Below are 20591 nucleotides of genomic sequence, written 5' to 3' on the forward strand. Positions count from 1 at the left end.
ATCTTAAAACAGCTGTAAACATCTGGGACTCAGGCCCTCTCAGGCTGGCCACATGCCCACCCCTTTCCCAAAACAAACGAATCAGATACTGTACAGATGTCTAGAAACATCTTTTATTTGGGTAACAGGTCCCAAAACAGGTCAGTTAATAAAATAGATTCTAAAGAATATGTCCCTATGCACAGCCCTCCCTCCCCAAAAATAACGCTGGGGGTAGGCATTGCCCTTCCCCCTTGGGCTCCTCGGGTGTATTTAAAAAAATGTTTTGGCAGCTCAGTGTTTATCATCTGGGCATGGGACACCATGTCCATGTCCCCATATTCCTAGGGTACAGCAGCAGTAGATGGCTGCAACAACCTTCCTCCTACCCCAGCCCAGAAAATATTTCTGCCCCACCCCAGGATCCGGGACCAAAATAAAGAGCAAGCAGGCCCCCTTCACTGAGGTGCTGGGTAGGGCTCAGTGCCACATTACTGTGCTTTGAGAAAGAGGAAGGGGATTTGTTTGGCACTTTAAAAATAGAGGAGTAAGCAGGACTGGAGAGGCCAGAGAAGATACCAAAATTGGCAGGGAGAGACCATTTGGCGCCAGTCCCCTAGGAGATGGGAGGAGGGAGATAGGTATGAGGGTAGGCGCTAAGAAGAGTAGGAGGGGTCCACTCCAAGTGGCAGGGTGCTGAAATGGGCTAGGACCAACAGGACACTGACTCTAGGTTTATGACCTGTCCATACCCGTTCCACAGCAGCTGGGTACCCACCTCCAGCCTCCCATGTGAGCCTGTCCTTATGTATAGTGTCCAACCTCTGATTCTAGCAGTCAAGTGTCTTCCCCAATCCTAATGTCCCCTGATATGTCTCTAGCGACTTGACCATCTCTTGTTCCTTGGGACTGGGGCCAGCCTCTTGTCTGCCCACTTCCCTCTCATTAGTCAGATAGCCCCAAAGGCTCTATCTTTAGCTCCCAGAGAACTTTTTGGTCCTCAGTATTTCCCTTCCCCTTTCCTTCCTATTCCCCACAACTGGGGGAGGGAAGGGAGAACAGGGGCACCTGATCATCAATCTCCCCTGCCCCTCTCTTGAAGCCCCCTAGATTTGGATGAAGAGCAGGCCAGTGAGCAGGGCAAAGCCTGCTAGGAGCAGAATGACCTTGAGGATCCTTTGCTCAGAACTGGCCAGCTCCTGGGGCAGGATTTCCAGAAAGGTGATATAGAGAAAGGTGCCAGCTGCCATGCCCTCTAGCACAGACTGGGCCAGCTGGTGCAGAGGTCCTGCCGACTCTGCCAGAGCTGCACCCAGCCCGATGCCTAGAGGTGTCATGCATGAGAAGAGGATCCCACAGCCAGCCACCACCTGTGCCCTAAGGTGGCTCTGCAACAGCCGCAGGGACAGGCTGACAGCCAGGATGCCCTTGTGGAGCAGCAAAGCCAGGCACAGCTCCATGGCCCGAGCCCGGTCTCGCTGCAGCCCTACCGCCAGCCCCTCGAACACGGAGTGGAGGGCCAGGGAGAACACCAGTACACAGGCACGCAAGGCTGAGGGGGTTGCTGGGGCTCCACTCGCCTGTGGGACCCCTGGCCCATCATGCCAATGCTGCGGCCCACCATTCACTGTTCCCAGCAGAGCCCTTGTTTCCTCCAGAGGTGACGGCCCTGACTGCTCCTTGTAAGCCAGTGTGATCTGCTCCATCACCAGGACCAGGAAGAAGCCCATGGCCAGGATGAACTCTTGCAGTGGGAACTGGAGCTGTGGGCAGAAGCAGCAGCAAAATGTTCAGGGAAGGAAGAGTGAGATGCAAAATCTGGTGAAAGCCCAGTTACACAGACCTAGGGTCTGACACAGACACAGGGCTACTCTCAGTCACACAAAGATAGAGTGAATTGGTAACACTGACACAGAATGATACGTACACACAGATTATGGTGTCACTCACAGTGTTACGTGTAGACCAAAGTTTCTCAGCTTTGGAACTATTAACATTTTGGGGCCAGGGGCAGTGGCTCATGCCTATAATCCCAGCACTTTGGAAGACCAAAGTGGGAAGATCACTTGAGGTCAGGAGTTTGAGACCAGCCTGGCCAACATGGTGAAACCCTGTCTCTACTAAAAATACAAAAATTGGCAGGGTGTGGTGGTGGATGCCTGTAATCCCAGCTACTCAGGAGTCTGAGCCAGGAGAATCACTTGAACCCAGGAGCCAGAGATTGCAGTGAGTCGAGATTGTGCCACTGCACTCCAGCCTGGGCAACAGAGCAAGACTCTTTCTCAAAAACAAAACAAAACAAAAACAAACAAACAAAAACATTTTGGGCCAGATAATTCTTTGTCATGGGAGCTGTCTTGTGCACTGTAGATTGTTTAACAGCATTTCTGATCTCTACTTACCAGATGCCAATAGCAGGCACAATGTTCCCTCCATCCCCCTCCCCATTGTGACAACTAAAAATATCCCCAGACATTACCAAATGTTTCCTGAGGGGCAAAGCCACACTCCTAGTTGAGAGTCACTGATGTAGACATACATGAAAAGGTCACACATTGCCCATCTCCCCAAATACTCATACATAGAGCCACATATCACAGGACATTCAGGCTTATACGCAGTCACACGGAAACACAGGTCACTCAGTCACAGACACACAAAGGGATACATCCAGTGTTACTTCCTCAGTTTTAGAGGAAAAAAGGAAAGAGCCCAGGATGACTTTCCTGCCCCACTATCCAACGGCCTCAGTTTTTCCTATAATAAACCAAGTCCTATGCCGTGGACTTGATCATTCCTCACAGCCCACTTCCTTGGGCCAAAGCCTAAAAAGGTTAGCAACACCAAGACCCAGGGAATCGCTTCCTATCCTTCTCAGGCCTACAGAGACCTCTATCTCCAGCCCTTTAGGAAAGTGGTGAGAGAGTGAAGATGATTCTTGGAGCACTTGCTGGTAGCTAGAACTGAGAACCCATAGAGCAAGTCACACACCTGAGAAAAAGTGTCTTACTGTCTCAACGGGAATGTAGGGGTCACACAGGGAATGGGGAAGGGGGAGGGAACACATAGAAAGAATTATGCCCCATAACCAAAAATCACAATTCATACCACATGCCAAAAGTCTTCCACACAGTCATGGAGTGGCACATGAATCAATCTCCACAAACCAACACTCCCAGAGGTGTGTGATTCCCCTCCCGCAAGTCACATGCCCAGGCCAGTGCTCACCGTCACGTGCAAGGCTGCCAGGGCCTCATCTATGGCAGCCAGGTAGTCAGGCAGCAGGTCCAGGAGACAAGTGGCCAAAAAGACGCCCCCCGCGAAACAGCTTACTAGGCTCAGGGCTTTCTGGCGGGAAGCTGGGTAGGGGTGAAGCACAGAGGGGAATAAGCAAACAAACCCCCTCCAGGGCCGACCACCCCAACCCAAACAATGGCTACCCTTGCCTTTCCCTCCTCCTTTGGTCACTCCCCGCCAGCCCCAGAGCCCTCCCTAAGCCAAGCATTCATAGCAGTGTGGGGAAAAGGAGAGGCTTACCTGAGCCTTCATGGTTAGCTCCTGGCCGGCGCAGCACACAGATGGGCACCAGGCTGCAGAGGAGGGTGAGCACCAGCAGCAGCACCAGGGCCCCCAACTTCACCTCCAGCCCCACAGGCACTGGAGGCTCTGAAGCTACCGCCTCGGGGCGCCACACCAGGAGCTCTGGCTCTCCCCAGGGCCCCATGATGCTTCTGGTAGCTCCAGTGACTCTCAGACCTAGGAAGACAGACCAGAGTGGTTGGGAAAAATCATGCAAAGGAAGATGGGGCAAGGAATGGGGAAGCTTGGTCAGCAGAGTGCAGCTCCCTGGCCCCAGCCACTTTGTGACCTTCCCCTACCCAGGGTGACTCATCTACTCCTGTACCAGGAACATTCCTCTCTTCTCACACTTTCTTTCCCAAGTGACTTATTCAGGGAGACTGCACGGGGGAAACCGAGGCATGAGAAAGGCTGTATGGATATCTCATCACCCTTTCACCTGGTGCCCCCAGAAAACTAGGAAACTAGGAGCCGCCTCCAAATAGGACCTGGAGCTGGAGTTCCCCTAAGGAATGTAGAGGCCGGGTCCCCAACTCCCGAACGGAGTGGGTGAAGCCAAAAAGGCTAGGGCTGTGCAGAGATGTCTTGGGTAGCTTCGTGGGCCACCTGGACAGGGTAAGTTTGGGTGCTGGATCGCTCCATCGTTCCCCTTTTCCCAGCGCAGAGAACAAGCGCTTCAGGCCCCAGGATGGGACCTAGAGGCAGATGGCCAAAGAGAGGGGCCCTAAGAGTCTGCGGTCCCGGGACGGACTGAGGCGACACTGAGGGCGGTGCCTGAAAGTCCGGGCTCCAGGAGGCGGGGTGCGAGGCCGCCAAGCGTCGCGGGAAGCAGATGAAGAATGCGTGAGCTGGGACTCCTGTTCCCGGGCCCGGGGAGGCCTGGGCAGCCGACATGGACCCCGCTGCCAGACAGCCCGCACTCACCTCGCGAGGGTCTCACTACATGGTCTCCGCGCGCTTCCGGCCTAGAGTCGGGAATTCCCGCCCCCTCCCATAGCTCCCCCCTCCCCCACAGGAGCCGCGTACCCACGACCGACTGCCAATGGCAGCACCGAGTGGGCGGGGACAGACCGGGAGTGACGTCAGTTAGGAGCAATCAGAGATCGGGAGCGGGAGCGGGCGGAGCAGGCGACCTGAGGAGAGTGAGCGAGAGCAAGAGCGGATATTAGGAAAAGGACCTCGGGGCTGGGGCCCTGGGGCGCATCTGTGGAGGACTGAGGGGCCGGAGCGGGCCAGTCAACAAAGGCTTTGATTATATGGATATTTTTAAAAGAGGGAGACCCCGCATTGTCAAGTCTTCCGGCCCACATCTGAAAACATCTTCCTGGCCTTGGGCCAAAGTCTCATCTGTCCCTCAGAAGGCTCTGACACCTCGTCAGTGCCTCTTGGCGCCCAAGGGAAAGCATTCCCCTCTTGGGACCAACTTCCTTGACTGCTTTCCCTCACCAGCACCCACAACAAGGAAAAAGACAAGGCAGAATTGGAAAGGGGGGAAAGCAAAGAGAGGGTATGTCTTGAAAATCATCCCTTCTCGACTACTTATGGCACTCAGTGCAGCCTCCGCCTTCTCCAGGTGGGTGGGGACGTGGTGGGACCGGAATGCGGGGTGCTGAAGCCGCGCCCAGGGAAGAGCCCCCAGCGCATTCCAGGATATCTGCGTACCGCGCCTGCGGGCGTCTGGCCGGTTCTCCCACCTGATTTCCAGCCCAGCTCCCGCCACCCTCGCCGGTCGGTTTGCTGTTTGCTGTTCCTTGAATGCCCCAAGGTAGTTGTTTCAGCTCAGGACTTTCACCGTTTCCTCAACCTGGATTCTTGTGGCCCACAACTCTGTGCCTTGAGAATCCTCTTCTAGCCTCAAGGGACGGTAAGACAAAAGAAAATTTAAAAAGGGGGCTCAGCTGTTCTTTTATGCAAAGGTGAAAAAAGCTTCATTGCCTAAAGAAGGGACAGATGGGATCTTGCTTCCTACAGGAAAATTAATTTTAAAAAAGAAAAAAAAAAGGGGGGACAGTGTAATGCTTCTCACAAGGCTCCAGAAACGAAGCCCAGTAATTCCTTAAGTAAAAGAGGAATGTGAAGACTTCTTAAGGGGCCGGGCGCGGTGGTTCACGCCTGTAATCCAAGCACTTTGGAAGGCCGAGGATGAATCACCTGAGGACAGAAGTTCAAGACCAGCCTGGTCAACATGGTGAAACCCCGTCTCTACTAAATATACAAAAATTAGCCGGGCGTGGTGGCGGGGGCCTGTAATCCCAGCTACTCGGGAGGCCGAGGCAGGAGAATCGCTTGAACCCGGGAGCCGGAAATTGCAGTGAGCCGAGATCGCGCCATTGCGCTCCAGCCTGGGCAACAACAGCGAAACTTCGTCTCAAAAAAAAAAATTATTCGTAATTGGTAACATTAACAAGGAATTATGACTGGGGGGGTCAGGAAACCTGGATTCTGGTCCAAGTTCTACCTTTATAGTTGTCAAATATATATATTTGTTTATTTATACACATACATATGTCATATATGATTAATAATTGTATATATTTATGGTGTACAACATGATGTTTTGAAATATATGTACATTGGGCCGGGCGCGGTGGCTCACGCCTGTAATCCCAGCACTTTGGGAAGCCGAGGCGGGCAGATGACGAGGTCAGGAGTTGGAGACCAGCCTGCTCAACATGGTGAAACCCTGTCTCTACTAAAAATACAAAAATTAGCCAGGCGTGGTGGCGCATGCCTATGATCCCAGCTACTCAGGAGGCTGAGGCAGGAGAATCGCTTGAACCGGGGAGGCGGAGGTTGCAGTGAGCCAAGATCACACCTCTGCACTCCAGCCTGGACGACACAGCGAGACTCCGTCTCAAAAAAAAAGAAAAAAGAAAAGAAATATATGTACATTGCAGAATGGGTAAATCAAGCTAATTAACATATGCATTACTTCACATATTTATTTGTGATGAGAACATTTAAAATCTCTTGGCAACTTTATTTCTTTTCTTTTTCCTTCCTTCCTTCCTTTCTTCTTTCCTCCTTTCTTTCTTGACAGAGTCTTGCTGTGTTGCCCAGGCTGGAATGCAGTGGCATGCTCTTGGCTCACTACAACTTCTGCCTCCCAGGTTTCAAGCAATTCTCCCGCCTCGGCCTCCCGAGTAGCTGGGATTACAGGCGCCCGCCACCACGCCCGGCTAATTTTTGTATTTTTAGTAGAGACGGGATTTCACCATGTTGACCAGGCTGGTCTTGAACTCCTGACCTCAGGTGATCCACCCGCTTCAGCCTCCCAAAGTGCTGGGACTGCAGGTGTGAGCCACCACACCCGGCCCAATAGATCTCCTCAATTTTACCTTACCTTGATGTATGATTTTAGGCAAGTCAGTTTTCCTCACCAGAGTTTGATAAATCAGGGGCAAGGAGGAAGTTAAACAAGCAGATGACTGCAGAGGGTCCTTCCAGTTCTAACATCAACGGAAGCTAACTACATTCCCCACTCAAATCATCTCTGCACATACAGCCCGCAGGAAGCCCTTTGAAATGTATTTAACCACCTTTCTCGCTCTCAGAATGATCTCAACAAGAACAGCTTTGCTTTCCTTGGAGCTCTGCATCAATCTAGGAAGGCTGCTTTGTCTCTTCACTACTTGAGCAGGATGGAGAGATATGAGCGGGAAAGACAGATAAGAAATCTGAGAAAGCCCCACAAGGTGGGTTGATAGTGTGAAGAACATGGGCTGAAGCATCCAAATCTTGGTTCAGCTACTTACAGGGTAACCTTGAGAAAGTTACTTAAACTTGTCAGCTCGGACGGGCGTGGTGGCTCACGCCTGTAATCCCAGCACATTGGGAGGCCGAGGTGGACGGATCACGAGGTCAGATCGAGACCACCCTGGCTAACACGGTGAAACCCTGTCTCTACTAAAAATACAAAAAAATTAGCTGGGCGCCTGTAGTCCCAGCTACTAGGGAGGCTGAGGCAGGAGAATGGCGTGAACCCGGGAGGCGGAGCTTGCAGTGAGCCGAGATCGAGCCTCTGCACTCCAGCCTGGGCCACAGAGCAAAAGAAAAACAAACAAACAAACTTGTCAGCTCCATCTGCTGTAAGAATTATATGAGTAACATGGAAATGCCTGACTAGACCCTGTTCCCGTTTTTACCCTTAGCCCGTTCAAATCTTCATAAGGATAATTAGTAGCAGTTTGAGTTCTGGGATTCACACTCCAAACTACTGTTTTACTCACCCAGCTACCCTTTTCTGAAATACTACTGAAAACCATACCTGTATCAGTTTACCTCCATTGTTTTACTTGAAGTGAATTCCTGGACCATCAGACATTAGACCAAGGCAAAAAAATAAAAATAATCAATCAACCCTGAGTTTTGGTATTACTACTTTCTAGTCATGGATCTGCCTCCTCATAGGTAAAATTTGCAAAATATTACCCGCCGTGTGTGCCTCAGAACTGTTATGGATTAAGGAAGAGAACAATTTTTATGAAAACGTTTTGTAAATTATACAAGTGTGGGACATAATGTTCCCGGTAACTGTATGCAAACAATAAGACAACAAACGCAAAAGGCTTTTTAACTTGTTGCAGTTTTCCTGCCCCGTGTCCCTCCGTGAATGAGCAGCGTGCAGCGAGCGTGTGCGCACAGCTGCTGTTCTCCATTAACGCCACACTGCTCGGCTTGCGGACGGGGAAACCCGCCATCGCGCTCCTGCCGCCTGCCGAGCGAGGATCACCGCTCCACTGGGGTCAGCGGGCTGTTGACTCCCCGCCTGGGTGAAACCGGAGCTTCCGAGTCACGTGGCGCGCGAAGACAAACCTGGCTGCTCAGGGTTTCCCGGAGCTTTCTCCCAGCTTCCCGGCGATTCATATTCTGGCGCTTACCCCTCCCTTTAGGCTGGCGGAACCCAATCCCCGCCTGACAAATAAGTCCCGCCGGCCGGACGCAGTGGCTCGCGCCTGTGGTCCTAGCTGCTCGCGGTGCTGAGGCGGGAGAATCACCTGAGCCCGGGAGGTCGGGGGCTGCATGGAACCGTGATCGCACCACCGCACTCCAGCCTGGGCAACAGAGCGAGACCCTGTCTCCAAAAATAAGAATAAAGAAAAAAAAAAGAAAGAACTGCGGCCCCATTGGCCTGACTCTCCTGAACAGCCAAACTGTCTCCGACCAGTTACGGAAGAGGCGGCCTTGAGAGGGTAGTGTGCCATTGGCTCGATGTCCTGCCCCTCCGAAACCTAAGTCTTCAGCTTCCAATCAGGACTCAGCTTTGGGAAGAGCGCCACGCGGTGGGCGAGGGGATGCCCTAGTAAATTCGCAGGTCTCTTGACTCTTTCCGCCTTTGTTTACAACCCTGCCATGATCTCCCTCTTGCAAAAGCGAGGGCTACAGAACAGGCATTCAGGAGTCCTGTGCTCCAGTCACAGCCTTTTCTGTTCTTCAGCTAGGAGACACCAAACCCTCAGGAAGATTTACTATAGCTAAGAGAAAACTGCAGCAGAAAGGGCGCGGCTACCTACTTCTTAAATTCCGTTTGTGGACCCTCAGACTCTTAGTCCCCTACTCCCAGATACAGCGGCCCTACCGTGGCTCCTGGCAAGGTGGCATCCACTTTTGTAGTGTAAGGCTGGGGGCGGGGTTTGGCTGGCAGGTCCAGGATACGAGATCCTGGAAGAAAGAAAAGGTGTAGTGTTTGGGGAGGTCAACGGGCTATGCTGGCTTGACAGGGCTGGGCTCTTCAGAACAGGTAATGCTTGGGGGGGGCCTCTTTGTCTAAACCTGAGGGATAGGGCTGAAGGTGAAATATCGAGGGGACAGGTGAGGGGGCTTGCTAGTGAGGAAGGAGTGGGGGGGCGGGGATAATGGAAAAGGGAGCAGAGGAGCCCAGAAACTGTAGGGGGTAGTAAGCAGCCATCATTCCGTTTCTGCAACCCTCCGTCCCACACGCCTTCCTGCAGAAGCATGGATCTCGGAATCCCTGACCTGCTGGACGCGTGGCTGGAGCCCCCAGAGGATATCTTCTCGACAGGATCCGTCCTGGAGCTGGGACTCCACTGCCCCCCTCCAGAGGTTCCGGTAACTAGGCTACAGGAACAGGGACTGCAAGGCTGGAAGTCCGGTGGGGACCGTGGCTGTGTGAGTGTGACGAGTGGGAGTGGGGGTGGGGTTGAGACACAACTCTGTGATAAGAGGCTTCAGCTCCCACTTGGAGACAGGTCTGAAAACAGACCACCCCCAAAATAGACGTAAGTTGTATAATAACTGTCTCCATGCCCAAGAAGTGAAAGGACTGAAAATGAAGCATAAGTCAGGGAGGACTTCCAAAATTCTTCCCTGCACATATATATAACCTTTTCCTACTGTAGGGCCTTCAAGAGAGTGAGCCTGAAGATTTCTTGAAGCTTTTCATTGATCCCAATGAGGTGTACTGCTCAGAAGCATCTCCTGGCAGTGACAGTGGCATCTCTGAGGACCCCTGCCATCCAGACAGTCCCCCTGCCCCCAGGGCAACCAGTTCTCCTATGCTCTATGAGGTTGTCTATGAGGCAGGGGCCCTGGAGAGGATGCAGGGGGAAACTGGGCCAAATGTAGGCCTTATCTCCATCCAGCTAGGTCAGTGTTCTTTGTGGGAAGGGGGAAATGGCCCTTCGGGACTGGCCCTAACCATGGGGTTAAGGGGGTTTACCCAACCTGTGCCACTACCCAGGCCCTGCGGCTGTCAGGGTGTTCCTAAGTCTCCTTTCTCCCAGCTACCTGTTTTCTACTCCAGATCAGTGGAGCCCAGCATTTATGGTGCCTGATTCCTGCATGGTCAGTGAGCTGCCCTTTGATGCTCATGCCCACATCCTGCCCAGAGCAGGCACCGTAGCCCCAGTGCCCTGTACAACCCTGGTGAGTCTTGGTGTCAGCCAGAACCACTACTCCTTGATACATATATAATCACACAGACAGAGCAAAGGGATGAGGGAATGGAAACTGATGATGAACTGCCTTTGCCCCGGTTTTTGTGGCATTGGGCCTGAAGACCAAGGAGACATGAACAGTTGAACTATTTTTTATTTTTTGAGCCAGGGTCTTACTCTGTCATCCAGGCTGGAGTGCAGTGGTGCAATCACGGCTCACTGCATCCTCAACATCTTGGGCTCAAGCAATCCTCCTGCCTCAGCCTCCTGAGTAGCTGGGACTACAGGTGTGTGCCACCACGTCTGGCTAATTTTTGTAGAGATGGGGTTTTGGGGTTTTGCCATGTTGCCCAGGCTCAGGCTGGTCTTAATCTCCTGAGTTCAAGTGATCTGCCTACCTCAGCCTCCCAGGGTGGTGGGATTACAGGCATGAGCCACTGTGCCCGACTAACATGAACAATTTTTTTTTTTTTTTTTTTTGAGACGGAGTCTCACTCTGTCACCCAGGCTGGAGTGTGGTGGCACCATCTCAGCTCACTGCAACCTCTGCCTCCCGGGTTCAAGCGATTCTCCTGCCTCAGCCTCCCAAGTAGCTGGGACTACAGGTGCCTGCCACCATGCCTGGCTAATTTTTGTATTTTTAGTAGAGACGGGTTTCCACCATATTGGCCAGGCTGGTCTTGAACTCCTGACCTTGTGATCCGCCTGCCTCTGCCTCCCAAAGTGCTGGGATTACAGGTGTGAGCCACCACGCCTGGCCCAACATGAACAATTTTAAAAGCAGGGAAGGACAAGGGAGAAAGAACCCTTGGGGGTAAGGTAGCAAAAACTCAGTTAAGGTGGGGTGAGGGAATCTGGGGACAGGGCTCAGGAGAAAGCCCAGACTTTGCATGCATTGTATTCTTAGCCAGAGCCATTATCTCAGCCTTGGGTCAGGACACAGAAATGGGACAGGCCACCTGGGAATCCCAACTGGTTATAGGTACAGGAAGAAAGAAAAGCAATAGCAGCAATGTTTCCACTGGAACAGTTGCCCAGGAGGCACCCACTGGCTAGTGCTACAGTGTAGCAGAGGTATCACATTAGATGCCTTCTCAAGGCCGTCTGGGCAGCGTCCAAGGCTGGGTAAAGAGGGGACTATGCTCAGATCACTGTTCCTCCCTTTCCTCTGAAAATTACTCCTTGTACCCAAAAGGCAGGGACCAGGTCCTAGCCTCTCTTCAAATCTGCAGTTGAAGCTGGGACCAGAAGCCAAGCTAAGCATCTTAGAATCTTTTTTTTTTTTTTTTTTTTTTTTTAGACAGAGTCTCGCTCTGTCACCAGACTGGAGTGCAGTGGCATCATCTCAGCTCACTGCAACCTCTGCCTTCCAGGTTCAAGCGATTCTCCTTCCTCAGCCTCCTGAGTAGCTGGGACAACAAGTGTGCGCCTCCAAGCCTGGCTAATTTTTGTATTTTTAGTAGAGATGGGGTTTCACCATGTTGGCCAGGATGGTCTTGATCTCTTGACCTTGTGATCCGCCCGCCTCAGCCTCCCAAAGTGCTGGGATTACAGGCATGAGCCACCGCACCCGGCCAACATCTTAGAATCTTGAGCTGAGGAACCTTTAAAAGTCTGATGCCGGCCGGGCGCGGTGCTCATGCCTGTAATCCCAGCACTTTGGGAGGCCAAGGTGGGCGGATCACGAGGTCAGGAGTTCGAGACCAGCCTGGCCAACATGGTGAAACCCCATCTCTACTAAAAATGCAAAAATTAGCTGGGCATGGTGGCGGGTGCCTTTAATCCCAGCTACTCGAGAGGCTGAGGCAGGAGAATCGCTTGAACCCGGGAAGCAGAGGTTGCAGTAAGTGGAGATTGCGCCATTGAACTCCAGCCTGGGCGACAGGGCAAGACTCCGTCTCAAAAAAAAAAAGTCTGATGCCCCTAAGTTTGGGTATACATTAGAAGCACCATGGTGTTTGTAAATGCTTTGTTATTTCTTTATTGTAGAGACAGTCTCACTATGTTGCCCAGGTTGGTCTCGAACTCCTAGCCTCAAGCAATCCTCCTGTCTTGACCTCCCAAAGTGCTGAAATTACAGGCGTGAGCCACCTTGGCCACTCTGTTTTCTTTTTCTTTTTCTTTTTTTTTTTTTTTTTTTGTTGTTTGTTTTAAATGAAACCCTCTAGGCCTCATTTTCAGTGATTTTGATTAGGTGGACTGGAAGAGACACTCCTCTAATAGTTCCACCAAACAGTCACAGGAACAAGAAAGGCACATCAGGAAAAGCCACACAGGAAATGGTTTTGCCAAAAGCCAAAAACCATGAGCAGGCAAAAACCAAAGTAAATTCTCTGTAAGTCACAAAATGAAGCATACATCTTTTTTTTCTTTGAGATGGAGTTTCGCTCTTGTTGCCCAGGCTGGAGTGCAGTGGTGCAATCTCGGCTCACTGCAACCTCCACCTCCCGGGTTCAAGCGATTCTCCTGCCTCAGCCTCCCAAGTAGCTGGGATTACAAGCACCCACCACCACGCCCTGCTAATTTTTGTATTTTCAATAGACATTGGGTTTTGCCATGTTGGCCAGGCTGGTCTTGAACTTCTGACCTCAGGTGATCTGCCCACCTTGGCCTCCTAAAGTGCTGGGATTACAGGTGTGAGCCACTGTGCCCGGCCACATACATCTTTCAAAAAGAAATACTAGTGAGAAGGGCCATCCACTCTCCGTACATCCTCTCCTGTGATTTGCTGTGAGACGTATGGCTGCCTTTGGGAAGCTCCTTGTATGAGAGGGGACAGAACCTGAGTCTGAGAAGCAGAGCTCAGACCCTAAGGGAGAATGGGCCACTGCCCCAGGGAGCTCCCTGAGGTTGACGGGCAACTGGATAACACACTCTGCTAAATGGAAGTTAATGACTGAAAGTGAATCATGTGCTTGCTGTAAGGAAATTATGCAAACTTCACTGTAGTGAGTTCTTTCAGGTTCTCTTGGGTATGGGGAGACATGGACCAGAATAAGCCTTCTCTAGCTTGCTCAGAGTGCCAAGGTCCTCAGTGTCTGGGTGAAGGATATGACAATACCCTCCTCTCTCCCTTCTTGGCCTCAGGATGTCCCTTTGGCTTGATCTAGAGCCTGTCTGAATTAAAGTCTCTGCCCCTCACCTCACCTCTAGATTAAAGTTGTCTCCCAGTGAGGAAACACTCTCCAGAAGGCATGTGGGGGGAGTAGCCTGGGTGCTGCAAATGGGATGACCCCCTCCTCACTCCTATTGCATCTTCTCCTGCCCCTACCCCCAGCTGCCCTGTCAAACCCTGTTCCTGACCGATGAGGAGAAGCGTCTGCTGGGGCAGGAAGGGGTTTCCCTGCCCTCTCACCTGCCCCTCACCAAGGTAACATGCTTCCCCTAAGGGTATCCCAACCCAGGGGCCTCACCATGACCTCTGAGGGGCCAATATCCCAGGAGAAGCATTGGGGAGTTGGGGGCAGGTGAAGGACCCAGGACTCACACATCCTGGGCCTCCAAGGCAGAGGAGAGGGTCCTCAAGAAGGTCAGGAGGAAAATCCGTAACAAGCAGTCAGCTCAGGACAGTCGGCGGCGGAAGAAGGAGTACATTGATGGGCTGGAGAGCAGGTACGCCTGGGTTATTTCTGGCTTCTTGTGGGCCATGTCTGGGCCCCTTCCTCACCATGGGAGGCAAGGTAAGGGACTCAGGTTGCTGAGCCTTGTCCTACCTCCCTACATTCTAGGGTGGCAGCCTGTTCTGCACAGAACCAAGAATTACAGAAAAAAGTCCAGGAGCTGGAGAGGCACAACATGTGAGTGAAAGCATTGTGTGTGTATGTGTGTTTTGAAGGCAGGTACAGCACACAGGGGTGCCATTCTTGGCCCCTGGTACCCAGATGATACTAACTCTTCATTCCTCCTTTCCCAGCTCCTTGGTAGCTCAGCTCCGCCAGCTGCAGACGCTAATTGCTCAAACTTCCAACAAAGCTGCCCAGACCAGCACTTGTGTTTTGGTACCATTAGTCTATCTACTCCCATCTCCCCCCACACTTCTATCCTTATACCCCGACTACCCGGCCAGATCTACTTCCCACATCCGATAACCCCAGCTGGCCTCCGTTCACTCTACCCCCTGCTCCCTTCATCTGTTCCTCTTGCTTCCTCCCAGATTCTTCTTTTTTCCCTGGCTCTCATCATCCTGCCCAGCTTCAGTCCATTCCAGAGTCGACCAGAAGCTGGGTCTGAGGATTACCAGCCTCACGGAGGTGAGAGGCAAGGGCAGGGAGCAACCCCTGGCTGAGCAAGGGAGGGGGACTCTGTTCTCCAAGGTCGTCAAGAAGCAAGAGGGAGGTCCTGTCCTGTCTAGGGTCTCCCACCCAGGGGAGCACTCTACTACTGCCCTCTTGCCTTCACCTCACAGTGACTTCCAGAAATATCCTGACCCACAAGGACGTAACAGAAAATCTGGAGACCCAAGTGGTAGAGTCCAGACTGAGGGAGCCACCTGGAGCCAAGGATGCAAATGGCTCAACAAGGACACTGCTTGAGAAGATGGGAGGGAAGCCAAGACCCAGTGGGCGCATCCGGTCCGTGCTGCATGCAGATGAGATGTGAGCTGGAACAGACCTTCCTGGCCCACTTCCTGATCACAAGGAATCCTGGGCTTCCTTATGGCTTTGCTTCCCACTGGGATTCCTACTTAGGTGTCTGCCCTCAGGGGTCCAAATCACTTCAGGACACCCCAAGAGATGTCCTTTAGTCTCTGCCTGAGGCCTAGTCTGCATTTGTTTGCATATATGAGAGGGTACCTCAAATACTTCTGTTATGTATCTGTGATTTTATTTCTTCTTTGGGTATAGGGTTGAGGGGAAATAAGTTTTGAGTGAGAAATAAACGTTTTAGCTGAAATTGTATCCCAGAAGTTTGAAATAAGTAGTAGAAGAGGGGGAAAACAAGGGAGAAGTGGTGGGGAAGACTTGGTAGATTGGGGCCTTAAGTAACCACCTCCTTTCCCTCTCTGCCCCCATGACTTCCTGCTCCAAGTTACAGAAGGGAAGGAAACCATTTTACTCTTTTTATTCTGCTCATTAATGATCTGAAAGAAGAAGATGGGGAAAAGGGGATTCCACCACAAGGCTCCAAAGAACCAAGAGTGCAAATCAGTCCATTTCACTTTCACTGTCTGAGATAGGGTCTCTAAGACCCAGGATACAAGGGTGGAATGTAGCTATATGGACTCGATTTGCTTCCGGACCTTTTCCAGAGCCTTTCTGTCCAATTGTCGCTGACGAATGATGACAAGACAAGCGAAGATCAGGGCCACACACACGACAGCCCCTTCGAACTTCCAAAATAAGCGTTGTTCCATCAAAGCTGAGCGGCAGCTGAGGGCAGGAAGGAATAGTTATTCCCAAGGAAGGCCAGACAGCTTCTCCCTCTAATTTCCCTTCTACTTCAGCCTAGCCAGGATACACTCAAGAGGAAATCAGAGCCAGGCTTCTATTGTGTGTATAGTACATAAATCCCTCTCAAATAGATCATTTAATTTATTCTCTGGATAAGCAGAGCTAGTATTAACCAATTTTACTGATGAGAAAATATGGCCAATAACATAGTGCTGAGGAGTAGAGCTGGGACTTGGGTTCAAGTAATTTGGCTCCAAATCCCGTCTTCTTTCTTATTATTTTTGAGATGGTGTCTCGCTCTGTCACCCAGACTGGAGTGCAGTGGCGTGACCTTGGCTCACTGCAACCTCCACCTCCCGGGTTTAAGCAGTTTTCTGCTTCAGCCTCCCAAGTAGCTGGGATTACAGGTGCCCGCCATCATGCCCAGCTAATTTTTGTATCTTTAAGAGAGATGAGGTTTCACCATCTTGGCCAGGCTGGTCTTGAACTCCTAACCTCGTGATCCACCCGCCTCGGCCTCCCAAAGTGCTGGGATTACAGGCGTGAGCCACCCCTCCCAGCCTCTTTTTTTTTTTTTTTTTTTTGACACACAGTCTCGCTCCATTGCCCAGGCTGGAGTGCAGTGGCATGATCTTGGCTCACTCTAACCTCTGCCTCCTGGGTTCAAGTGATTCTCCCTGCCTCAGCCTCCCAAGTAGCTGGGATTATGGGCACCCACCACACCAGCTAATTTTTGTATTTTTAGTAGAGATGGGGTTTCACCACGTTGGCCAGGCTGATCTCGAACTCCTGACCTCAGGTGATCTGTTAGCCTCAGCCTCCCTAAGTACTGGGATTATAGGTGTGAGCCCGGCCCCCTCTTCTTTCAGATATTCCATGCTACCCCCAGACCAGGGGAAAAGGTGGGACCATCCATCTAAAGTCATAGGAGCAAAGGAGGTGATCTCAGAGAAGAGAAACAGCACTCACCTTTTGAACTCATTTCTCTTAGATGAGCTGCATGTGATTTTCTCTACATATCCTGTGGGACCACACTCAGGGGTAGTTTTCTGCCAGGAGAAAAGGAGCAAAGTACATGTTAGGAAGGGGCAACAGGATAAACAAAAAGGCTGCCATTCAGAAGGTGCAGGTGCCCAACTGCTATGGTTTGGAGTGGTAGGCAACAGAGAGCTAATGAAAGAGTTCTGATGCGGATGGTGGAGGTGGTGGTTGCATGATTACGAATGTATGTTAGAACACTTCAGGGGCAACAGTCTAGGAGTGGCAAAGATACATTCCATTCCAGAGCCTACTATACTAAAAGTGAATAAAACATAGTTATTTGAGGCCGGGTGTGGCGGCTCACGCCTATAATCCCAGCACTTTGGGAGGCCGAGGCGGGCAGATCACGAGGTAAGGAGTTAGAGACTAGCCTGGCCAACACAGTGAAACCCGAGTCTACTAAAAATACAAAAATTAGCCAGGCATGGTGCAACGCGCCTTTAGTCACAGCTACTCAGGAGGCTGAGGCAGGAGAATCGCTTGAACCCGGGAGGCGGAGGTTGTGGTGAGCCGAGATCTCGCCACTGCACTCCAGCCTGGGCAACAGAGTGAGACTCCGTCTCAAAAACAAACAAAAAAACCATAGTTATCAGTTGAATACTGCCATTAGCTTGGAAAGAAAGGGGCACATTTTCAGGGGAAAGACAAGTACAGATTTGGACATACACTGAGACTGCAAGAAGAAAGAAAAAAAGATGATGCAAAGGCAGCTTAATAAGACTTGGATGTTAAGATGTTGCTTAAGTGTTTGCTTAGATGTTTAAAAAAAAAAAGGGTAGAGAAATAGATACTCACAGCCCGGAAATTAGAGCATGGAGAGCACTCTTCTGCTACCACAAACTCTTCCACCAGCCAGCATGGCAAATTTGAGGTGCTTGCTGAAAGGAAAGATAAATGCCAGCCCCAGGCCATTCAGAAAACATTTCTCCCAGGCTCTGCCCATCCAACTTCCCGGCACAGCGCTTGCCCTCATTCCATGTGGTGCCGGCCTTTTCCACCTGTGCTCTTGGTATATGGGGAAGATACTAAAACCAAAAACAAACGACGGGACGTGTCGGGTTCCCAGACAATCACCCACCTGACAGCTTCTCTTCCTGCACGGGAGCCTCTGCTTGGCTGTAGCGGAGTTGGGGGAAGGGACAAAAGTCAAAACCCAGAAAATAGGGCACCCCCTCCTGCGCTGTCCATGGATAAGATCTCCCCCAGCCCCGAGGCCGGGAACGATCCTGTCCTCCAGTGACCTCCTTTTCCCTCCCCTTACCTCCTCCTTACCAGAGCTTTAAGGTGAAAGCACAGAGCAACCAGCAGAGGTGGCGGCCCTGGGGGAGGCCAGGCCTCCCGGCACCCGCAAGCATGGAGCGCCAAGTGTCGCACCTGTCGGAACAGAGGGACCTACTCCACAGGCCTCGTGCCTCCGTCGGAGCGCAGAGGCGGCACTTACTCTGCAGCCCTCCCAGAGGTTCCAGGTCAGGGCAGGGAAGGCCGGAGTTGCCTATTGGAGCAGAGGATCTATCAGGACGTCCCCGTTGCCACAGCGAGAAAAATCGATATGTTTTTGCGGGCTAGGGAGGCGAGCGCCTTCTGCGGGGTCCGCAGGGCGCTGGAGGAAGGGCCGGCGGGGGCTCGCGGCCCTAGCGCCCGCTCACCTCCGCTCCCGCCCCCGACGCAGCCATCTAGCCCCGTGGAGGATCCTCGGGCGCGGGACCGAGCTCGGGGCCCGGTGTTCCCGGGGGCGTTCGGTCGTCGCCCGCTGGGGCTTATAGTCTTCCGCGTCGGTGGCGCCTCGCCTGCTGCTCACTGGGAATTAGCTCGGCGCCCCGTTGCATTGTGGTCTTGGTAGTCTTTGCGAGAACGGCAAATGGCGGTTGCAGAGGCTCGTCCGAATTCTCGGCTCGCTGCTCCCTGGCTGGCGCGTGTTTGTTCATTCTGGGCTAGGTGAGCAGGGACAATACGTCGCCCTCTCAGGACTTTGCTCTCTCCTTAAAACCCGAGGATTCACCGTCAAGCTTCTGGTTTCTCTGACATCCTTCCCCAGCCGCCCCTTCATCGCCACCGATGATCCAGTGGAGAAGCTGTGTTGGAGGTCAAGGGATGGAGGCGAAACTGCGCGTTCTCGTCCCTGCAGAAACCGGAATATCCGAGACACATGACGAACATGAAACTTTCTCCTTGTCTCTTGGCTCCCACTCCGCTACACAGATGAACGGTGTTACCTTCCCTCATGTTACTTTGCTAAGCCTACTCCTCAGAGCTGGTCCTTTGCATAACCTCTTCAAATGCTCTCAACTCTCCCTTGCTCCTACATAATGGAGTAATCATAAGTGCAATGAGAAAAGCATGAGATTTGAAGTTCCATAAGTATTGAGTCTAGGTTCTGGTGGTTATTAACTCCATGATCTTAGGAAAGTATCTGTCAGTGTTCTGTGTAAAACGGAAATGCTAATGTGTATTTACCAGGACTTTTTCTTGCGAGAGGCAGATGAAATGTATCTCCGTTTCATGAGTAAGTTCAGAGAATATAAGTGACTTGTCCAAGGTCAGCAAGCTAATGAGTGGGAAAGCTGAGGCTTGAGCCTAGACTGTCAACACCCAGGCCAAAGATTCATTGCCTGCTTTTCATCTTATGGAGTTAAACCTTGATACACACTCAGATCTGCAGTGACTTGACCAGCACTGTGGGTTCATGCTTTACTGTCTGATAACGAATTTTCATTTAATTTTATTTTTTTTCTTAGACAGGGTCTAGCTCTGTCACCTAAACCTGATGAGGGCTGAGCCTTCATTTCGCCGTTTTTTGTTTGTTTGTTTTTGTTTTTGAACGAGATGGACTCTGGCTATGTTGCCAGACTGGAGTGCAGTGGCAAGTCACAGGAGCCATCATAGCGCATTACAGCCTGGAACTTCTCGTCTTCAGGGATCCTCCCAAGTAGCTGGGATTTCAGGCATGTGCCACCATACCTGGCTCTAATTTTGAATTTGTTTCTTTAAATTATTATTTGTGTTTGCTGAAATTGTGTGTGTATTATTTTTGTGTATGTGTGTGAGTAGTTATATGTTACATAAAGTAGGTTGTGGGGTTTTTTCCAGTAATGTTTAGCTATAATTGAAGTTTGGGCCGAAATCTGCTAGTATTTGTTACTCCTCACCAAATCCTACCTTATCTCACAACAAACTGTAAGATCTTGTGATATTTCACTTCCAATAACCTTACCAGGCATCAGAGTGGGGTCTCTACTCTGAAATTAAATATCTGCCATAAGGTATGTTGAAGACGTTAGTCTCTTTCCCAGGAGGCACAAAGTGCAAGTCTTTTCCTCATCGCTTGAGCAAATTAAACCTACCGGACAGTTTACTACAGAACTCAAACACAGCTGGGCGCAGTGGCTCACGCCTGTAATCCCAGCAATTTGGGAGGCCGAGGTGGGCGGATCACCTGAGGTCGGGAGTTCAAGACCAGCCTGACCAACATGGAGAAACCCCGTCTCCACTAAAAATACAGAATTAGCTGGGCATGGTGCCATATGCCTGTAATCCCAGGTACTCGTGAGGCTGAGGCAGGAGAATCACTTGAACCCGGGAGGTAGAGGTTGCGGTGAGCCGAGATCACACCATTGTACTCCAGCCTGGGCAACAAGAGCAAGAATTCATCTCAAAAGAAAAAAAAAAGAACTTAAGCATAAGCCACAAATAAGGTTTATCATTACCT

The 20591-nt window shown here is 51.4% G+C and overlaps 3 protein-coding genes, 1 long non-coding RNA gene and 1 other non-coding gene across 22 annotated transcripts, besides 18 other annotated features; 2 read left to right on the forward strand and 3 right to left on the reverse strand.

Annotated features, from left to right (window-relative positions):
• Positions 1-97: 97 nt before the first annotated feature.
• SLC39A1 (solute carrier family 39 member 1) lies at positions 98-9172 on the reverse strand. Of its 7 annotated transcripts, none has more exons than NM_001271960.2 (5): positions 9072-9172; positions 4585-4691; positions 3517-3735; positions 3208-3338; positions 98-1742 (listed from the first exon to the last, which is right to left on the reverse strand). In NM_001271960.2, the coding sequence occupies exons 3-5, from the start codon at positions 3701-3703 to the stop codon at positions 1086-1088; spliced, it is 975 nt and encodes a 324-aa protein (NP_001258889.1). In that variant the 5' UTR covers positions 3704-3735; positions 4585-4691; positions 9072-9172; the 3' UTR covers positions 98-1085. The 7 variants fall into 7 exon arrangements, with proteins under 7 accessions (NP_001258889.1, NP_055252.2, XP_047273964.1 ...); NM_014437.5 differs by lacking the exon at positions 9072-9172 and adding an exon at positions 8374-8713; XM_047418008.1 differs by lacking the exon at positions 9072-9172 and adding an exon at positions 8374-8713 and having other exon boundaries at positions 4483-4691.
• MIR6737 (microRNA 6737) lies at positions 3339-3408 on the reverse strand. Its single transcript, NR_106795.1, has one exon. It is a non-coding gene; the product is annotated as a microRNA 6737 (primary transcript).
• Positions 3809-4763: an enhancer, noted in NCBI's record as "H3K27ac-H3K4me1 hESC enhancer chr1:153935297-153936251 (GRCh37/hg19 assembly coordinates)". NCBI's record gives its function as "activates a minimal SCP1, AML or CMV promoter by ChIP-STARR-seq in naive and primed H9 embryonic stem cells {active_cell/tissue: H9 hESC(naive and primed)}" and the evidence as "EXISTENCE:reporter gene assay evidence [ECO:0000049][PMID:30033119]".
• Positions 3809-5312: a biological region, named in NCBI's record as "BRD4-independent group 4 enhancer GRCh37_chr1:153935601-153936800".
• Positions 4092-4161: an enhancer, noted in NCBI's record as "active region_1763". NCBI's record gives its function as "activates an Ori minimal core promoter by ATAC-STARR-seq in GM12878 lymphoblastoid cells {active_cell/tissue: GM12878}" and the evidence as "EXISTENCE:reporter gene assay evidence [ECO:0000049][PMID:35858748]".
• Positions 4113-5312: an enhancer, noted in NCBI's record as "BRD4-independent group 4 enhancer chr1:153935601-153936800 (GRCh37/hg19 assembly coordinates)". NCBI's record gives its function as "activates an origin of replication core promoter dependent on BRD2, P300/CBP, MED14 and CDK7 cofactors, and independent of BRD4, by STARR-seq in HCT116 cells {active_cell/tissue: HCT116}" and the evidence as "EXISTENCE:reporter gene assay evidence [ECO:0000049][PMID:35650434]".
• Positions 4202-4261: an enhancer, noted in NCBI's record as "active region_1764". NCBI's record gives its function as "activates an Ori minimal core promoter by ATAC-STARR-seq in GM12878 lymphoblastoid cells {active_cell/tissue: GM12878}" and the evidence as "EXISTENCE:reporter gene assay evidence [ECO:0000049][PMID:35858748]".
• Positions 4412-4581: an enhancer, noted in NCBI's record as "active region_1765". NCBI's record gives its function as "activates an Ori minimal core promoter by ATAC-STARR-seq in GM12878 lymphoblastoid cells {active_cell/tissue: GM12878}" and the evidence as "EXISTENCE:reporter gene assay evidence [ECO:0000049][PMID:35858748]".
• Positions 4622-4901: an enhancer, noted in NCBI's record as "active region_1766". NCBI's record gives its function as "activates an Ori minimal core promoter by ATAC-STARR-seq in GM12878 lymphoblastoid cells {active_cell/tissue: GM12878}" and the evidence as "EXISTENCE:reporter gene assay evidence [ECO:0000049][PMID:35858748]".
• Positions 8176-9032: an enhancer, noted in NCBI's record as "H3K27ac hESC enhancer chr1:153939664-153940520 (GRCh37/hg19 assembly coordinates)". NCBI's record gives its function as "activates a minimal SCP1, AML or CMV promoter by ChIP-STARR-seq in naive and primed H9 embryonic stem cells {active_cell/tissue: H9 hESC(naive and primed)}" and the evidence as "EXISTENCE:reporter gene assay evidence [ECO:0000049][PMID:30033119]".
• Positions 8176-9156: a biological region, named in NCBI's record as "H3K27ac hESC enhancer GRCh37_chr1:153939664-153940520".
• Positions 8467-8686: an enhancer, noted in NCBI's record as "active region_1767". NCBI's record gives its function as "activates an Ori minimal core promoter by ATAC-STARR-seq in GM12878 lymphoblastoid cells {active_cell/tissue: GM12878}" and the evidence as "EXISTENCE:reporter gene assay evidence [ECO:0000049][PMID:35858748]".
• On the forward strand, positions 8475-15347 carry CREB3L4 (cAMP responsive element binding protein 3 like 4). 12 transcript variants are annotated; one of them, XM_024453343.2, is made up of 10 exons: positions 8475-8872; positions 9510-9687; positions 9918-10164; positions 10322-10443; positions 13732-13824; positions 13960-14066; positions 14183-14251; positions 14368-14452; positions 14608-14704; positions 14860-15347. In XM_024453343.2, the coding sequence occupies exons 2-10, from the start codon at positions 9514-9516 to the stop codon at positions 15051-15053; spliced, it is 1188 nt and encodes a 395-aa protein (XP_024309111.1). In that variant the 5' UTR covers positions 8475-8872; positions 9510-9513; the 3' UTR covers positions 15054-15347. The 12 variants fall into 12 exon arrangements, 11 of the variants coding, with proteins under 11 accessions (XP_024309111.1, XP_047302783.1, XP_024309112.1 ...); XM_047446827.1 differs by having other exon boundaries at positions 9510-9627; XM_024453344.2 differs by having other exon boundaries at positions 8475-8750.
• Positions 8647-9148: a silencer, noted in NCBI's record as "fragment chr1:153940135-153940636 (GRCh37/hg19 assembly coordinates)". NCBI's record gives its function as "represses an EF-1alpha promoter that drives an FKBP-Casp9 reporter gene in an ReSE screen in HepG2 liver carcinoma cells {active_cell/tissue: HepG2}" and the evidence as "EXISTENCE:reporter gene assay evidence [ECO:0000049][PMID:32094911]".
• Positions 8897-9006: an enhancer, noted in NCBI's record as "active region_1768". NCBI's record gives its function as "activates an Ori minimal core promoter by ATAC-STARR-seq in GM12878 lymphoblastoid cells {active_cell/tissue: GM12878}" and the evidence as "EXISTENCE:reporter gene assay evidence [ECO:0000049][PMID:35858748]".
• Positions 9037-9156: an enhancer, noted in NCBI's record as "active region_1769". NCBI's record gives its function as "activates an Ori minimal core promoter by ATAC-STARR-seq in GM12878 lymphoblastoid cells {active_cell/tissue: GM12878}" and the evidence as "EXISTENCE:reporter gene assay evidence [ECO:0000049][PMID:35858748]".
• On the reverse strand, positions 15257-18662 carry JTB (jumping translocation breakpoint). The gene is made up of 5 exons (NM_006694.4): positions 18158-18662; positions 17964-18001; positions 17681-17763; positions 16814-16893; positions 15257-15823 (listed from the first exon to the last, which is right to left on the reverse strand). The coding sequence occupies exons 1-5, from the start codon at positions 18238-18240 to the stop codon at positions 15667-15669; spliced, it is 441 nt and encodes a 146-aa protein (NP_006685.1). The 5' UTR covers positions 18241-18662; the 3' UTR covers positions 15257-15666.
• Positions 16834-17483: an enhancer, noted in NCBI's record as "H3K4me1 hESC enhancer chr1:153948322-153948971 (GRCh37/hg19 assembly coordinates)". NCBI's record gives its function as "activates a minimal SCP1, AML or CMV promoter by ChIP-STARR-seq in primed H9 embryonic stem cells {active_cell/tissue: H9 hESC(primed)}" and the evidence as "EXISTENCE:reporter gene assay evidence [ECO:0000049][PMID:30033119]".
• Positions 18133-18781: an enhancer, noted in NCBI's record as "H3K27ac hESC enhancer chr1:153949621-153950269 (GRCh37/hg19 assembly coordinates)". NCBI's record gives its function as "activates a minimal SCP1, AML or CMV promoter by ChIP-STARR-seq in primed H9 embryonic stem cells {active_cell/tissue: H9 hESC(primed)}" and the evidence as "EXISTENCE:reporter gene assay evidence [ECO:0000049][PMID:30033119]".
• Positions 18503-18552: a silencer, noted in NCBI's record as "silent region_1348". NCBI's record gives its function as "represses an Ori minimal core promoter by ATAC-STARR-seq in GM12878 lymphoblastoid cells {active_cell/tissue: GM12878}" and the evidence as "EXISTENCE:reporter gene assay evidence [ECO:0000049][PMID:35858748]".
• JTB-DT (JTB divergent transcript) lies at positions 18731-20148 on the forward strand. Its single transcript, NR_186180.1, has one exon. It is a non-coding gene; the product is annotated as a JTB divergent transcript (long non-coding RNA).
• Positions 18783-18832: an enhancer, noted in NCBI's record as "active region_1770". NCBI's record gives its function as "activates an Ori minimal core promoter by ATAC-STARR-seq in GM12878 lymphoblastoid cells {active_cell/tissue: GM12878}" and the evidence as "EXISTENCE:reporter gene assay evidence [ECO:0000049][PMID:35858748]".
• Positions 18841-19135: a silencer, noted in NCBI's record as "tiled region #11874; K562 Repressive DNase matched - State 1:Tss". NCBI's record gives its function as "represses a minimal TATA promoter and a strong SV40 promoter by Sharpr-MPRA in K562 cells {active_cell/tissue: K562}" and the evidence as "EXISTENCE:reporter gene assay evidence [ECO:0000049][PMID:27701403]".
• Positions 20149-20591: the final 443 nt, after the last annotated feature.

The sequence above is a fragment of the Homo sapiens genome, chromosome 1, assembly GCF_000001405.40.
Source record: "Homo sapiens chromosome 1, GRCh38.p14 Primary Assembly".
Lineage (NCBI taxonomy): Eukaryota > Metazoa > Chordata > Mammalia > Primates > Hominidae > Homo > Homo sapiens.